This window comes from Homo sapiens, chromosome 11, assembly GCF_000001405.40.
Source record: "Homo sapiens chromosome 11, GRCh38.p14 Primary Assembly".
NCBI lineage: Eukaryota > Metazoa > Chordata > Mammalia > Primates > Hominidae > Homo > Homo sapiens.
The window spans coordinates 34,588,476-34,605,917 of NC_000011.10; the positions used below are offsets into that span (position 1 = coordinate 34,588,476).

Genomic DNA, 17,442 nt, shown 5'->3' on the forward strand with positions numbered 1-17,442 from the left:
TGACCATCATGAGGCACTTTTGAATATCTAAACCCATTTAAAGCCCACTTTTCTCTATGGCTGGCCATTTCTGCCTATTGACAGCTAATTTGCCTCATCCTACAGGACACCTTCCATGTTTCCCCAGACTCCAGAAATCAGGTATTAAATTATCAGGGCTTCAGGAGCCATGGTCTATGATGAGTTTACTACCTGTGCCCAATAAATGTTTAAGAAATAAATAAGAGCCAATATAACTATAAAGACCAAGAGCCAAAATAAGTCTCTTTGCTTGCGCTTTAGATCTTAAGAGTCCTTTATATTCAAGCTGCTCAGAGTCAAACGTGTGCCTAATAAACATTCTACAAAGGTCCTGGCGTGGTGTGACCAAAGGAAGAGAGAGGGCTCCAGTGTCTGTCACTGGGAGACCAGATGGACAGCCACGTGGGGCAGGGCCACTGGTGCCACATGTCCAGGTCTGTTAAGCCCTATGAAAGACACTTGAGTCAAAATGTATTTCTATCTAAGAAAGAAGACTATAAATGGAAAAGGGAGAGGGGAGAAGACCTCTCAAGGGCATCTCCCTCTAGAAGTAGAGATTGTGAATCTGCAGCAGAAAGGTTTTAAACAAGGGATAGCAGAATGCCTGGATGGTGTTCTAGTGCCTGAATGGAAAAAGGCCACAATGACCAACAAATCCCACCTACATCCGCCTTCCTCACTGCCTGAAATCCCACCATTAGGATTTTTTTCCTTTTGGGTTAGCAACCAAGAAAGAGTAAAGTCTGGAAGACTCTTATTCCACATCTTCACTTTGCAGCGCCTCTTTTTTTTTTTTTTTTTGAGATAGAGTCTTGCTCTGTCACCCAGGCTGGAGTGCAGTGATGCGATCTCAGCTCACTGCAAGCTCTGCTTCCTGGGTTCACATCATTCTCGTGCTTCAGCCTCCCGAGTAGCTGGGACTACAGGCACCTGCCACCACTCCCAGCTATTTTTTTTTGTATTTTTAGTGGAGACAGGGTTTCACCGTGTTAGCCAGGATGGTCTTGACCTCATGATCCGTCCGCCTTGGCCTCCCAAAGTGCTGGGATTACCACCTCTTCTTAATTACAAACATAAACAAAAACTAACAACTTTCTAGTTTTTTCTTTTTCTTTTTTTTTAAATTACAAAAGAGATCCATATTCGTCAGAGAATAATTGGAAAAAAGAGATAAGCAAAATCAGAAAAATAAATTCAGCCTGTAATCACCCAGAGATAACAATTATTAAAATTTAGGTATTCACTTTGTTATTTCCTTTTATAACAAAACTTTTTTTTCTTGTGAAATTTAATAGAATACAATTGAACTATTTTTTCCTTTATGGTTAATGATTCTTGTTTCTTATTTAGGAAATCATTTCCTGAGTCATAAAGAATTCTCTCATATTTTCTTCTAAAGCTTTATACAGTTTTGCCCTTCAAATAAGGTTAATAACCCACCTAGAATTGATTTCTGTGTATGGCATGCAGTAGAGACAAGTTCTACTTTTTTCTCTCAAATGAATATTCAGTTGGACCAAGGCTGTCCTTTCTCCACTACTTTGCAGTTTCACTTTTTGTTGAAAAATCAATTGTTCATACATGGGTAGATCTCTTTCTGGGCACTCTTGGAGTCTATTGGTCTGTCTATAAGTTGAACAGGATCAGACAGGCTGTGCTTTGTTTCAGGTAACAAAGAACCCCAACATCTCACTGATGAATACACTAAAGTCATTTTTGTTTTCCATTGGCAGTTCACTTCTGATGCAGGAGATGCATCAGGCCAACCGCCCTTTGCAAGGTGAAGTGTCTGCACCATTGGAAGTACTCTCCATCCAGGGGAGAGAGACTGGAAATGGTCCATGAGGTTTTCATCGACCCAGAATGAAAGCATCACCCATCATTCCCTTCTTGTTACAGCCTATTTGTCAGAACCAGTCAGAGTTCCACCCACCTGCAAAAGGTTGTGACGTGCTGTTTGCGATTTGCCTGGAAGGAGGGAATACCCAGATACAGGAAAATGCTAGTGACGTGCACTTCCATCTAACTATCTTTGAATGAAAATGACAGTCTTAATTACTGCAGTAAGATAAGCAGACTCTATACCTGGTAGAGCAAGTCCTCTTACCCCATTTCTTCTTCAAGAAGGTCTTGGCTAGTTTGGAACCTTGGCAATCCCATATAAACTTTAGAAAATGCTAGTTAAGTTCTTTAAAAATCCTGCTGAGACTTTTATTGAATCCATAGCTTCATTTAGAGAGAGCTGACATTTAAATTAGGGAGTGCTCCAAGCCACTAACATAGAATTTCTCTCTTTTACTCCAGGTCTTCTTTAATTTCTCTCGAGTGTTTTGTAATGTTTTGCGCAAAGTTCTTGCACATCTTTTGATAGATTTCCCCCTAGGTTTTGGATATTTTTAAGATGCTAGTGTAAATGTTATTGCTATATATTTTTCATTTTACAAATATATGTGTTTAGTATATAGAAATTTAATTCATGTTTCTGTATTGACTTTATTGAGTAACCTTATGAAACTTTCTTAAATTCTAAAAATTATCCACAGCTTCCCATAGATTTTCTATGTAGGTAATAACATAATCCACAAAAATGACACTTCAATTTTTTCCTTTCTGTTTCTTATGTCTTTATTTCTCTTTCTTGCATTTCCCATGTGGGGTCCCTAGACACTGTTGAATAGATGTCGTGATAGTGAGCATCCCTGTTCTGTACACAGCCTCGAAAGGAAAATTTTCAGAGTTTTGTTTTAAACAATCTGGTTGTTATAGGTTTTATTGTAGCAGCTCTTCACCAGATTACCTGCATGTTTTCTTTTTTCTAGTTTCTAAGACTTTTAATCCATTAATGAGTGGATGTTGAATTTTAACAAATGCTTGTCTCTGCATGTATTGAAATGACTATATGACTTTTCCCCAATTGATCTGTTAAGTTGGTAAATTACACTGATATTCCAAAGTTAAAGCAATTTTTACACTGGCACCCTCAAGTAAGCCAAATTTGGACATGATGTATTTTTAAATATATATTGCTGGTGTTGGCCTGTTAATATTTTATTTAGAATTGTTGAGCCTATGTTCAAGAATAAAATTGGCTTGTGATTTTCCTTCACATACTGTTCATATTGGGTTTTGGTATCAAGATTACTCAAGCCTCACAAAATAACATAGGGAGTCTCATTTTTTCTATTTTCTGGAAGAGTTTGCATAAGTGTGGCATTATATCTTCTTTATCTCATAAAATTTGCTTGAGCCATCAAATCTTAACATTTTATGACAGGTTGATTTTTTATTAAATCAATGATTTTAATAGTTATAGGATTATTAGGATTTTTTATTTCTTCTTTTGTTAATTTTAGTAAGTAGTGTTTTCCTAGGAATTTGTCTATTTTATCAAAATTTATAAATTAATTCACAGAGTTGTTTATAATATCTTCTAATTATCTTTCTAATGTCTGCAACACATGTAATAATGTTATTTTTGCTTATAAATTGACAATTTATAATTGCGTATACTTATGGGGCACAAAACAATGTTATGATTTATGAAAGCAATGTGGAATAATTAAATCTAGCAAATTAATATATCCATCACCTTAAATACTCATCATTTTTTGTGGTGAAAACATTTGAAATTCACTTTTTTTCACAATTTAAAAATGCACAGTACACTATTATTATCTACAGGTGGTTCCTGACTTCTTATGATGATTTGAATTATCACTTTTCAACTTTACAATAATGTGAAAGGAATATGCATTCAGTATGCTCTATGACTTATGTTGGGATTATGTCTGGATAAACCCATAGTAAGTTGAAAATATCAATGGGCTCATCCAGATATAACTCCATCATAATTTGAGAAGCAGCTGTATATTTATCATGGTGTGCAATAAATCTCAAAAAAAGACTTATTCCTCCCGTCTGAGATTTTGTACCCTTTGGCCATCACTCCTTCATTCCCCTCACCCACAGCCCCTGTAACTACCATTCTACTCTCTGCTTCTATGGATTTGATTGCTTGAGATTCCACATGTAAGTGAGAACATGTGGTGTTTGTCTTTCTGTGTCTGGCTTATTTTACTTAGCATGATGTTCTCCAGTTTCAGTGATGTTGTTGCAAATGATAGAATTTCCTTCTGTTTAAAGGCTGAATTATCCCATTGCATGTATATACTACATTTTATTTATCCATTCATCCATTGATAGACACTTAGGTTGATTCCATAACTTGGCTAGTGTAAATAGTGCTGCAGTGAACATGGGAGTAAGGACATGTCTTAGACAATCTGATTTCAATATTTGGATAAACACCCAGAAGTGGAGTTACTTGGTCATATGATAATCTAGTTTTAGTTTTTAAAGTAACTTTCAAATAGTTTTTCATGATGGCAGTACTAACATACACTCCCAACAGTGTACAAGGGTTCTCCTTTCTCCACAGATGTTCTCTTTTTCATTACTGACATGAGTTATCTGTGCCTTTCCCATTTTTTGTCTTCATCTGTCTCAGCAGAAGTTTATCAATTTTATCATTTAAAAGGTAAAAATTGTTACCTTTTAAATCTTGTCTATTGTATTTTTTTGTTTCATTAATTTTTGCTCTGATTTTTGTACTTCCTTTTTTCCATATTTTTAGGAGATGACTTTGCTGTTCTTCTAACTTCTCTTTCTAGGACTCCTAGAAATATGTTAAGTCTGCTCATTGTATTTTTCTCACCTTTATATTTTCCATTGTTTTATCTCTTTCTTATTCATTCTGGGTAGTTTCTTCTAATCTACCTTCCAGTTCATTAATTATCTCTTTACCTGTGTTGAATTTGCTATTAAACCTATCTGAATGACTTTTTCATTTTTTATTGGGTTTTTAAATGTTAAAATTCTCATTCCTATTTGGTTCTTCCTCAAATTTGCAATGATTTTGTTTCAGCTGATTGCCAAAACGTTTTTAGTTCAAGTTCATCTCTTTGAGCATAGTGAGCACTGTTGTTTTACAGTCTTTATGTAAATACCTTCTCTTTTATTAATCTTTCCACGTTTCTGGTGGAGGGACTGGCTATGAGAGACAAAAACTTTCTTTCAGGTGCTTTTAGGACTTACCCATATTTCTTTCATGGTGTCTATTATTTTATTATCTCATTATTTAGATACTTTTCTCCTCTACTAAACTAATGGTTCAAGGCTTATCAAAGATAAATCCTCTGTCTTGTTCATCTCTGTGTCTCTCATGGTATCTAGCAGACTTCCACCCAAGATATAAAGACACTATGACTAAGTGAATGATTTTAGTCTTACCTACCTGCCTGTTAACTTACCTACTTGCATCTCACTTATACTTCAACTTTTGGCTTCTTCCTCAACCTCAACTACCCCATTCTTCCCATGGCTCACTGTGCTCACTGGCCTCCATACTGTCCCTTAAATAAGGAAAGCTGCCCTAGCCTCAGGGCCTTTGCACCTGCTCTGCCTGCTGTTTGGAATGCTCTTCTTCCCATATACCCATCTGTTTTAATCCCTCATCTTTTAATCCCTCATCCCATCTCTTCAAATGTGATTTCTACAGAGGGTTCTCTGACCACCTTATCCAATAACCAGCATTCCGTCTCCCCTCTGCCATTCTCCATCATCTCACCATGCTTTATATCACATATCACTAAGTGACAGTATACTATAAACGTACCCATTTGTTTACTGTCTGCCTCCCTAACTAATGTATAAGCTCTCTGAGGGCAGGGACTCTGTTTTATTTGTACACCACAATTATCTCCAGTGCCTTGAATAGTGTCTGGCATGTAGAAGGAATTCAAGAAATACTTGTCAAGCTAGGTGCTGTGATAACTACTTTATATGAAATTAAGTATTTCTCCTCCAGCAGCTCTAAAAGTTTAGTATGTTATTATTGTCTCTGTTTTACTGATGAGTGAACTGAGGTTCAGAGAGGTTATTTAGCATACGTATGAAGACAGAATTAGTGAGTGATTGACCTGAGATTTGAACTCAACCTGTGCTGTCTAAAGCTAGCCAGGCAGCCTCACATACATGGCAAATGCCTACTGAGACATGAACATGCAGGTTGGGATCCCAAACTGTTGGGAAGCATAAAAGAAAAACACTAAAGATGTGGGGAGTGTAGGACTTTTTTTTTTAATAGGCCAGTGGCCCTCTCTGCAACCCTTTGAATGATCAGCTTGATCAGAGAATCCCCTACCCCTACCCCTGCCTCAGCCAGTTTCTATCTGGCTGTGTCATCAGCTGGCTGATCCAAACAGCAATGTCAACAAAAGAATGGTGATCAGGCACGTAAAGCAATGTGTCAGAAAGAAAGAAAAGGCAGCTCAGATGATGCAAGATCATCCAGATGTCAAGCACTGTGTGGTGGCACACTTGCCCGTTCATGTTGTTGATTTTTTAAACATTTGTGATAAGAACAAAAACTTAGTTGCTTCCCTCAGGTCCTCCCTGTATGGATTAGTGCAGACATCTGCCGCTTCAGGCTTTCTGATTGGTTCCCACTGGTTTGGGGCAAAACCGGAAGCTTCTGAGCCAAGTGCAGGGGCAGAAGAGCTCCCAAGAGCTCCTGGGAAAACTAGGAAGGACAATCAAGAAACCACCGGCAGCTCCATTTGCAGGATCTCATCCCATCAGGGGCTGTCTCAGGAGGGGGAATTGGAATACCATTCACCTGTCCCCTTTGCAGATACACCAATGTCTCGTTCAAGAACAAGCAGAAAGGAAACACCAGATTGCCCAGAGCACAGGATTAGGACACACCACACAGAGCCAACTCAGCGTATCATTGTTTGCATTGATCATCTGGGGATGAAGCAGGCTCCGTTCTGGAAGGGGCAACCTGAATAGAGAAGAGTCTGACATTGGAGTCAAGCAGAACTTGGTTGGAATTTGGCTCATTGCTGGGTGATCCAGAGACAGTTATTTAATCTGAGAATCAGATATCTTGTCTGTTAAATGGAAATTATAGTAGCCACTTCACAGGATTGCTGTAAAGAGTACATAAAACCAGGTACCTGCAATGTATAGTGCTAAGCCTGACACGTAGCAGGGTGTTAGTAAGTGGTACCTCTGACTGGGGATGGAAGCCAGAGGAGCTGGACCTTTATTTGACTGGCCAGAAGCCAGCTCTCTAGTCACCTTCCTGATCCTTCCTTCTTCTGTGTGTACACGGACAATGTTTTTCTACATAATGGAACAGTGGCCCTCAAAACTTGTTTTCATAAGAATTATCCAGGTTGCTAGTTATTAATACTAGTTATCCAGGTTGCTAGTTATTAATACTAGTTATCTGTGTTGCTAGCTAAAAATACACTCAGTTCCCATCCCCAGATTTTTCTATTTCAGTAGGTGGTAGTGGGTTCAGGAAATCTGTGTTTTTACCAAAGTATCCCCTACTATAGAATTAATTTTTGTGTTCCCCCCTCATTCATATGTTGACATTTAAACCTCCACTGTGATGATACCAGGTGGCTTTGGGAGGTGATTAGGTGATAACGATGAAGCCCTCATAAATGTGATTACTGACCTAATAAAAGAGACCCCAGAATGCCCCCTTGTCCCTTCTGCCATGTGAGGTCACGGTGAGAAGATGGCATCTATGAACTAGGAAGTGGGCCCTCACCAGACGCTGAATCTGCTGGTGCCTTGCTCTTGGACTTCCCAGCCTCTAGAATTCTGAATAATAAATTTCCGTTGCTTGTAGCCTAGTCTATGACATTCTTTTGTGGCAGCGTAAATGGACTAAGATGTGCACCCTCATGCCCTTTAGGGAATTGTGACTTTGAGAAATGCTGCCCTAGGATTTACAGAATGCTGACAAAGCTTTGTTGACTCAAATGCAAAATATTCTTATAAAGACCAAAATAGAAATGAATACTCCCTTGAACTCCTTTGGATGTGCACTTTGCGTAGTTATAGCACCTTTTCATCATGTGCAAATGAGACGCAAATGAATCCTTAGTTTGACCCAGAAAGAATGTCTTTGCTGGTAGGGACTACGGGAGAGAGAGAAGAGCCAGAATACTGTAGGAAAATTAACACCGGCCACGAGACAACTGGTTGCTAGCTCGGTAGCTGTGCAACATTGGCATGTTACTTGAACTTCTAGAAATCTGTTCTTTCTTCTGTAAAATGAATATGGTCTGGAAAGTAAAGACCAGTCACCTCCTCTATCAGTTGGAGTCTAATCAGGAAGAAACCTAAGTGTCTTCAACAGAGGGAATTTAATGCAGGGAATGGGTCACACCAGTGTTAGAAAAGCTGCAATGCCAAAGAGGGGATAAAGAGATAGCTCAAAGGTTAATAAGAGCAGAAAGTCACTAGTATTCATAGGCTGAAAAGAGAAAGGGAGGAGATAGTGTTCCCGGAATCCCTGATGGGCTTGTCTGGAGGGCGCTGGGGCCATGGAGGAAATGTAGTAGCTGCTGGAGGCATGCTCAGGGCAGAGAGGGAGCAGAGAAATACCCTGGCTTCTCATTTTCTTTCTCCAGTCCTTGCAGGCACCTCACTGGCTGAACTCAGGGGAGCATTTCTCCTCTACAGAACAGAGTCTCCTTGCATACAACAAGAGGGTCAAACAGAGGATGGCTTAATTTTTCCTTCCATTTCTCACTTCTATGATTCTCTCCCTTCAGGTTAAGTAAGTGAGGGTAAGTAAGCTGCCCAGTAAGTGAACAGTTTTCCAAACAAGCCCACAGCACCACCTCTATATACAGCAACTCTCTGTTTATCAGCACTGCATTAACCAGGACTCTCTATTAACTGGGACTTCCAGTTCCTTAAATTTCTTCATGGTTCCTGTGTACTCCCAAAGCATCTTCATCAAACAAACATTAAGTTACGCTTAGAGACCATTTCTCAATTGAATATAGATAAAAGATTCTAAGGCCTTGAAAAAAATTAATACATGCATATTAGATATAGCTATAAAAGCCAGACTATCTGATTAATTATGTGACTGGTGTTAAACTGTTTGGACAAAGGTTGGCTAAATTCCCTATGAATACTTACTTCCCTACTTCTGTGGACAAGGAAAAATAGACCAAAGGTTCAGATAAAAGCTTGATTCAATGTCATCTCTTTTCTCACGAATCTTGGTCATGTGTGGGAAGTGACCCAGATCTAGAACCTTAGCCTTTGGGACTTAAAAAAAAAACAAAAAACTGTTGAGTTGAATCATTAAGTGTTACTGAGGGACAGGAGAGAGGAGGGTAGCTTTCTTAGTTCCAAGACAAATTTTGTTAACAAAGATCTGTGGGTAGACTTGTGTCTGGGCAAAAGATCAGAAGATGTGCTGTTCTAGGCCTCTTTGCCCTCAGACCCATTCCCTATCCTTTCCCCTTCACTGTACCCCCTTATCTCCTCTTCTGCTGTCTTCCTCTGGGCCTGATGCTTGAGGATCCAGAAGTTTCTCAGGCTCCCATGTTCCAGCAATCCAGGCCTCCTTCCCAGTAAGGGATGAGTACAGGGGCCACACATAGCCCTGCAAGTTTTGTAATCCAACTTGAAATCCAATGGCAGAATGAATGGTTATATATGGTGTGACCCAGGACCACATGCAGTTGTATCACATGCACTTAGAAAAGAGCCCCATTTCTTGGACTCATTCCCAGACTCAATCTCTCTGAGGGTAGGACCAGGAATTCGGCCCTTTTCACAATCTTCCCAGGTGATTCTCTACATAGTATAATAATACAAACTCATGGAAATATATTTAATGAAAAATGAATAAAAGAATAAATGAAATAACAAATGGTGATGGCTGGCACAATGTGTGTATCCATTCTCCTACTGAGGTGCACTTACTTTGCTTCCAAATGTTCATTTGACAAGTAGTGATGCATTGAATATCCTTGTACATGTGAGCATGCAGTAAAGTTTCCATGGGCTTATATTTGCTGGATTATGGGCACGTGCATCTTCCTCTTTTCTAGATATTAACAAATCACTCTCCAAAGTATTTATAACAATCAACACTCCTGAACAAGCAGTGGGTTGGAATTCCTTCCTCATCACATCCTGGCCAACAATTATTATCATCAGATTTTTTAATTTTGCCAATTTGAAGGAAATGCAGTGGCTTCTCATGTGTTAGTGTTTCTGATGATCAGTGAGGTTGAGTGTCATTTTTTTTTTTTTTTTTTTTTTTTTTTGAGATGGAGTTTTGCTCTTGTTGCCCAGGCTGGAGTGCAATGGTGCTATCTTGGCTCACTGCAACCTCCGCCTCCCGGGTTCAAGTGATTCTCCTGCTTCAGCCTCCCAAGTAGATGGGATTACAGGCATGCACCACCATGCCTGGCTAAGTTTTGTATTTTTAGTAAAGACAGGGTTTCACCATGTTGGTCAGGCTGGTCTCAAACTCCTGACCTCAAGTGATCTGCCTGCCTCGGCTCCCAAAGTGCTGGGATTACAGGCACGAGCCACTGCACCTGGCCGATTGAGCATCTTTTTATGTGTTTAATGATGCTCATTTTTTATTGACTTCCTTCTGTGCTTTCTTTTTTTTAGCAGTGAATTTGAGTTGTAAGAATATGTATTTCTTTCACTCTGGGATTCACCTACATAAAGTAATTTTCACTTGAATGAAAAAGAAATCAGTTGTATAAACATCTGTTTTTTCTGAATTTTACTGGTGTAAAAATGGCCACTCAGCCCTGGAAGAAACAAAGGCACTTTGCCAACTGAAGTTGCAGATGGGAAATTTTTAGAAAGGTCCTGTTCAACCTCTGGAAGGGGAAGATCATATCTGAAAGTCAGGGTAATCCACCCAACCCAAATGTTTCTTCTACTATGGGTTCTGAGGATTCGTCCATGTGCTTCTTCTGCGTTGCTGCCATCTGATTTCCTTTGCTAGGCTCCTCTTGCAACTTGGGCTACAAAGAGGTGCTTCATAGTCCACAGTCTTTGCCTCACCTTCAGTCTTGAGGTGGTCCCCTAGGAGTTATTGGTAGTTGCCGCTGGAAGCCATTCTAACAAACCTGGCGAAGGCACAAAAGGATAGAAAGCCTTTAGCCAATATGGTGCCATCAAAAACAAACAGAGCACGCTGCCCAGTCCTCTTCTGGTTGCCTTTACTAATGCATCAGTCATACTTCTTCTGCACTCGATCTTAGCCAAGAGGTCGAGAAGCCATAGTCATAATTCTTCTGAAATTAATCTCTTCCTGCCCCACCTCCCCATCATCTGTCTTTGAATTCCCAGGGCTAGTACTCATAAGATTATCTCTTTCTTCTCCTTTATGAGGAGACCCATTCTTTTTCACAAACCAGCCACAAAAGCAAGTGTCATTACCCCCTACCGGAAATACCAGACAGAGAGTTCATCTGGGGTTAGTTTCTAATCAAGCCTCCTGCCCGGGTTTTTCCTGCTCCTGTCTTGAAGCGACCACAGGGGGAGAGCAGTTTCCAAATATGATCCCTCCTTTCCACTGTCACTTGTCCAACCCCGACCACTATCATTCTTTTATTTGCTTCTCCCCTGAGCCAGCCAAGAGCCTAGGTCAGTGACAGGGCAGGCAGAAGAGAGAGGGGCTTCCAGGAAGGAGAGGGAGCAACCCACAGAAGAGGCAGCAAGACAGGAAGGCGGGCAGGGGCTGAAAATCCAATACATATCTAAGTACATTTTTCTAGGATGGGCTTCTACACTCAGCCAAAACATATATTGCATATTGTTTGTATTTTTTAGAGGTTTACAGGTCTCCCTGAAAGTCCCTCTGTGGAATTATAAACCTCTAATAAAAAATCCCAGGGTTAAAGAAAGGAAAAGATGAAGGAGAGGCCCACACTCTGAAAGGAAAGGGTTCAGCGACTCCTGGAAGGTTCTGGATGGTGCTTCCTTGACCAAGTCAGCTGCTTCTTCTACCTGGTCTCCTTTGTGGTTCAGCTGGGGTGGGGCTTACTAGAAAAAGCTGTGGGAGGTGGTTGCTCCAACGTATGGGGGCTGTCTGTAAGTGTAGGTGTTATCTGATGAAAGCTGCCCCGGGTGAGGGTTTGTACAGAAAGCCCCTGGTGGTGGGGAGATAATGTCAAGCTTCTCTCTCTCTCCCAGATCCTGGTTGTATCCTCTGTCCCTCTCCACCCCCACCCACTCACCCACAGACTTCCAAGGAACCGGCGCCTGCAGACATGCCTCTCTGATGCCCTCCCAGTAACCCCTGGCAGGCAGCACAGCGCCAAACCTCTTGGCCTTACCCCACTGGGCCCATGACCCAGTGGCTGTGCCTCTGGGTCCTCCCTGTCCTGCAAAGAGAACTGGGCCCTCAGTCAGGTTCTTCTGCTCCAACCCAGTGGCCACCTGTGCTCTTGGGGAGCTCGGGGGAGGCTGGGAAACTTTCAAAGAGCAGTTAATCACTAACTAGCTGGAGATAAGAGAGAGAGAATGAAACAATTGAGAAAATGCCCAACCCAGAGGTTAGTGCTTCCCTGCCTGCACACGCCAGAACCTGGCCCGCGCAGAGAAACTGGCGATCAAACTGAGTTTGTTCACTGGAGAGAGCTGACATACAGTCTCTAAGGGGCTGCAGTATCCCAGGCTGAGGTCCAGTGGCAGCCGCTGCCCCTTTCCTCCTAGGGCCCTTTCCTTCAGCCATGCCTCAGCCCTGAAGACAAACAGGAGCAGTTTTCAAGGAGCCCTTCCCTTATCTCTAAGGTCTGGGCCTGGAATTCAGCTTGGCCCATTTACTATGCCAGCTCTGTGCAGGGTGCAGAGATCCAAGATAAATCAGACAGGGTCTCTGCTGTCAGTGTGCTCAAGGAAAGAGGCTTTTAGGGGAAACAAATCTAAACGACTGCCAGCTGGAACTTCAACTCTGTAAAGCAGCACCCTGCCACATCTGCCTGCTGGAACATTTTCATCTGCTGGGCTCACGTAGCTGTGCAACAGCTGGGGCTGGGGTCACATTCTGGGCTGATCTGATGATTATTTTGGCTAGAGTGAGCTCATCCTTTTTGTTTTCAGGAGCTGTTCAAGGGTGGTCTGATGGTTTGGATCAAGACTAGCTGTATCCCGGAGAAGAATACGTTGACTTTTCTGGGGTGGGGTCTGGGGCAGAAAGCAAGAAGGCTGCCTTACTTCAAGGAAGGCTCTCCTTCCACCTTCTGCCCTCTGAGTGCCTTGTATGCGCAAGTGACACTAGACAAAGTGCTTAACACTTATTACCTGACTTGAATCTCCCAATGGCCCTGTAAAGCAGGTACTCCATTATCATCACCACCCTTCTTTTTACAGGCAAGAAAACCAAGGCACAGTCAGTTTAAATAACTGGCTCAAGGCTGCACGGCCGATAAGTAGCAAATTTGGACTTCGAATCTGGGCGCTCTGGCTTCAAAGTGTGCTGTCCATTGTTCAGGTTCTGGTCTGGTACTGGCAATGTCAGCCACACCTGGAAGCTTGCTAGGACTATAGAATCCCCAGCTGACCCCAAACTCCCCAAATTAGCACCATGATTTTAACAAGATCTCAGGTGATTGGTGTACACATTACAGTTAGAGAAACACTGCCCTTTTCACATTATATGGCTCTGTGCTCAGTACAGATTTAATTTTCTTTTTTTTTTTTTTTATTATACTTTGAGTTCTGGGGTACATGCGCAGAACATGCAGGTTTGTTACATAGGTATATATGTGCCATGGTGGCTTGCTGCACCCATCAACAGGCCCCGGTGTGTGATATTCCCCTCCCTGTGTCCATGTGTTCTCATTGTTCAACTCCCACTTATGAGTGAGAATGCGGTGTTTGGTTTTCTGTTCTTGTGTTAGTTTCACAATCATTCTCAGATTTAGCTTTCAAACTATTCATTCCACCTGCCAACAATTAGCGAGCTCCAGACATTGTGCCAGGTGAATGATGGAGGTGAAGAGACAAATTTCCTTATAGAACTTGGCCATGCCCTTCATGCAGGCAGTGTGTGGAGTGCAAGTCAGGACACTTGGATCTAAATCCAGTGCTACCACCTGCCGGCTGCGAGACTGTGGCTGAGTCATTTCACCTTCTTGGGTCCCAGGTTCCTAATCGGTAAAACCGGGAGGCAAGCCAGAGATGTCCGGCCCCAGCAGCATATTCTATGTGAACAGGATGAGGTGCCCAGCAGGCAATCAGTGGGGATCTGCTGAATGAGGGAACCAGTAAATGAGTGAGTGAACCGATCATCCACCACAAGGAAAGAGCCCTCCATTTCCAAATGAAGAAAAGAAGTATGCTAGTGGAGGGGAGACGGGATTATCTGCTGTGTGTCAGGGAAGAGTAGGGCCTTCCCAAGCTCCCTTAATACTAACATTACACAGGGGTCCTCGCTTGCCCTTCTCAATGGTCCACTCAGATGATTTCTCTTGGCGAATGTCTGCCCCACATCTGTGTGTCACTCAGCAACTTTGGCCACCTATCCAGTGTGGGATCTCTAGATCACAAGGTGGGGAAAGGGGTGAGGAATGACCTAGAATCCTGGCCTCTGGCCTTAGAGCCTCACTTGTTAAAGGGAAAGGGGCAAATAAGATCTGAACATCAAAAATTATTTCAGCTTGCCTTCCCTCTCACTTTTCTCTGTCCCCTTCTCCTCTTGTCTTCCCTGCAAACCACTTTGAGTCTCCTTTGGTTACCAAGATAAAACCAATCCACATTAACTATGGCTGGTATTTTTTTCGCTTTTACTCCAAGCCAGTGCATAGAGCATTTTGCTCACATTAGATTATGGAATCCTTCAAACAACCTGATGATGAGTGGGTGCCATTGATACCCCCATTTTATAGCTGGGGCAACTGAGGCACAGGGTTGTTAAGCAGCTAACCTGAGGCCACTCGGTCACTTCCTTGTGGTGGGCCCAGGATTTGAATCCAGGTTTGCTCAACTCCAAAGCCTGTGTACTAAACGACACTTCCTGCCTTGATAAGATAATTGTGGTTGTTACTTGGCCAAATAAAGAGCCTATGGAGAAGTTGTTTCCAATGAAGCATATCAGCTTCTAAATCTGGCTGAACATTGGACTCTCCAAAGGGGCACAAAATACAGCTTTCCGGGCACCATCTTGAAATGACTGATTCAGCAAATTGGTCGTAGGCAGCGAGGCACCTGTAGTTTGGTAAAGCTCCCAGGTGATTCTGATAATGAGCTTGTGCAGAACCCATTTACCTAAGGAGAACGCGGGTTCAAAGGGACTGGACGGCTCTTCCTTATTTAGAGTAGGAGGCTGTTGGCTTCCGAGAATGAGGGCTAATTAACTTTGGGGAGCTTCCTGCAGTGACCTTTGCCTTCGGGGAAAGTGTGGGGATTGAGATAAGAGAGAGAAATCCTTGGCGGCTAGGAGGAAGGGTAGGGTGTTTGCTGTCAGGCTCCAGGCTTAGCCCTCGTGGTGTCCCTCCTGGAGATGGTGTGCACTGAGTGCAGTGGCTGCTGGAGAGTGGGTGGAGAGATGAAGGTGACAGGGGTGGGATTAATTAAAATATCAGGCAGTGTGGCTGGGCGCAGTGGTTCACACCTGTAATCCCAGCGCTTTAGGAGGCCAAGGCAGGTGGATCACCTGAGATTGGGAATTCGAGTTTAGCGTGGCCAACATGACGAAACCCTGTCTCTACTAAAAAAAATGTAAAAATTAGCTGGGTGTGGCGGTGCACTGCAATCCCAGCTACTCGGGAGGGTGAGGCATGAGAATTTCTCAAACCCAGGAGGCAGAGGCTGCAAGTGAGCGGAGATCACACCACTGCACTCCGGCTGGGGCAACAGAGAGAGACTCTGTCTCAAAGAAAAGAAGCAGTGAACCTTTAGATTATCCCACTCTAAAAGTGAGGCAACCTTAGTTTTTCTGGGTCTTTAGAAGCAGAAGTGCCCTTGGCTATTTCTAGGCTGAGGGCCCCACCTAGTTCAAGCCTTCTAAACATCCAGTGTTTTGCTATATTCATTTACCACTTGTCCTATTAGACTCTTAGGTCTTTTTTTTTAATGACTCACTTATTAAAGAATGTGCATTTATTTACAAGGCAATAATATCACTACCTTTAATGGAAAATTAGCAACCCTGGCTACACCTAGAAGGTAACTGTTAATAAATAGGATGAAACCCAAGGCTGGAATTAACTTCTCATTGGATCCTGCAGCCTATGCTCCTTTCACTGAAGGGTGATATCAGCCAACTGAGACCTCCTCTAAAGTCTGTGAAGGATTGAATTAAGAGAATTGGAAAGGGCACACATTTCTCATGATGTGATTCAATATTGATTAATTCCAGGTTCACCTATTATCTAAAACCATGTTACTGAAAGTGGCTTATAAATACCGCAGCACCAGAATGTAAACTCCACAAGGGCAGAGTTTTTGGTTTTGTTTTGTCTTTTAAAAATCTGTTCATTGCTTTATTCCTAGACTCTGGAACAGTACTTGGAATATAGTAGGTGTTCACATATTTATTGACTACGTGGACTCTTTTTAGACTGAGAAGCGGAATATAAAGTCAGAGGGTCCGACTGGTGATCGAATGCCTTCGTTCTGTACTCAAGCCCACTCACCCACTTAGTTTTGAGAACTCTGGTGACCCAACCTACAGCCTGTCCCACCTTCAACTTATTCCCATTCCTTGGGTGCACGTGTTGCTGTGAGGATCAGATGAGGTCATGGATGGGCAGGACTCTGAACTGCGTGCCCTCTGCACAGGGAAACGGCTGGGCCGATTATAAATTGCAAAGGGGATGCCTGATGGTGGCCCCATGACTTTTCATATGCTTTGGGCTGTTGTGAGAGAGAGTGCCCAAAGCCTGATTCTGGAACATTTTCTTTGCTGTCTTCTAAATGAGAACCTGCTTGCTTCAATTCTCCCACTGAGCAATCATGCTGACATGAGGGAGGTGGAGTCAGACCTTACATTGTTGAGACCAGATTCTGTGTTCTACGAGTATTGGGAAGGGTGATGCAGGCAGGCACCCACCATGTTCCCTGTGAGTGCTTATTTTTAATAAAAACCTTGGTATACTGCTATTAATGAAAATAATAATAATAATAATAATTACTCCTGCTAATAATATAAGGAAACACCCACTGGTCTGTGACTGAGCCAGCCTTGCCTGAAGGCAGGGGAATGAATTCAATGACCTCTTGACACTGGTCTCAGCCCTTTGGTTCTATTACCACCTTGTAAACCTGAGGTTGTTCTGTTTTTATCCCTAGGGAGTTGTGGTTAGAACCTGCCAGAAATTTCTCACTATGAATCAATCTTCCATTGGTCACTGCCCTTTTCAACATGCCTGTCATTCAAGACTTACGATTTCCTAGGCATTGACAGAGAGAAACTGGCCATGTGGACCAAGGCAGTGGGATTTACGTGACACCCGCCAAGCCGGTGGGGCTAAGTTCCATTGCTGAAGTCTGATACCTGTCATCTGCTGTGGGGTGACATCCACACCATGTCATTCTCCATTCGTTCAATACATATTTGTG

At 42.4% G+C, this 17,442-nt stretch overlaps 3 annotated features.

Annotated features, from left to right (window-relative positions):
* Positions 6,207-6,501: an enhancer, noted in NCBI's record as "tiled region #2953; HepG2 Activating DNase matched - State 8:EnhW". NCBI's record gives its function as "activates a minimal TATA promoter and a strong SV40 promoter by Sharpr-MPRA in HepG2 cells {active_cell/tissue: HepG2}" and the evidence as "EXISTENCE:reporter gene assay evidence [ECO:0000049][PMID:27701403]".
* Positions 10,654-11,853: an enhancer, noted in NCBI's record as "P300/CBP strongly-dependent group 1 enhancer chr11:34620676-34621875 (GRCh37/hg19 assembly coordinates)". NCBI's record gives its function as "activates an origin of replication core promoter dependent on BRD2, BRD4, P300/CBP, MED14 and CDK7 cofactors, with strong dependence on P300/CBP, by STARR-seq in HCT116 cells {active_cell/tissue: HCT116}" and the evidence as "EXISTENCE:reporter gene assay evidence [ECO:0000049][PMID:35650434]".
* Positions 15,147-15,441: an enhancer, noted in NCBI's record as "tiled region #12213; K562 Activating DNase matched - State 5:Enh". NCBI's record gives its function as "activates a minimal TATA promoter and a strong SV40 promoter by Sharpr-MPRA in K562 cells {active_cell/tissue: K562}" and the evidence as "EXISTENCE:reporter gene assay evidence [ECO:0000049][PMID:27701403]".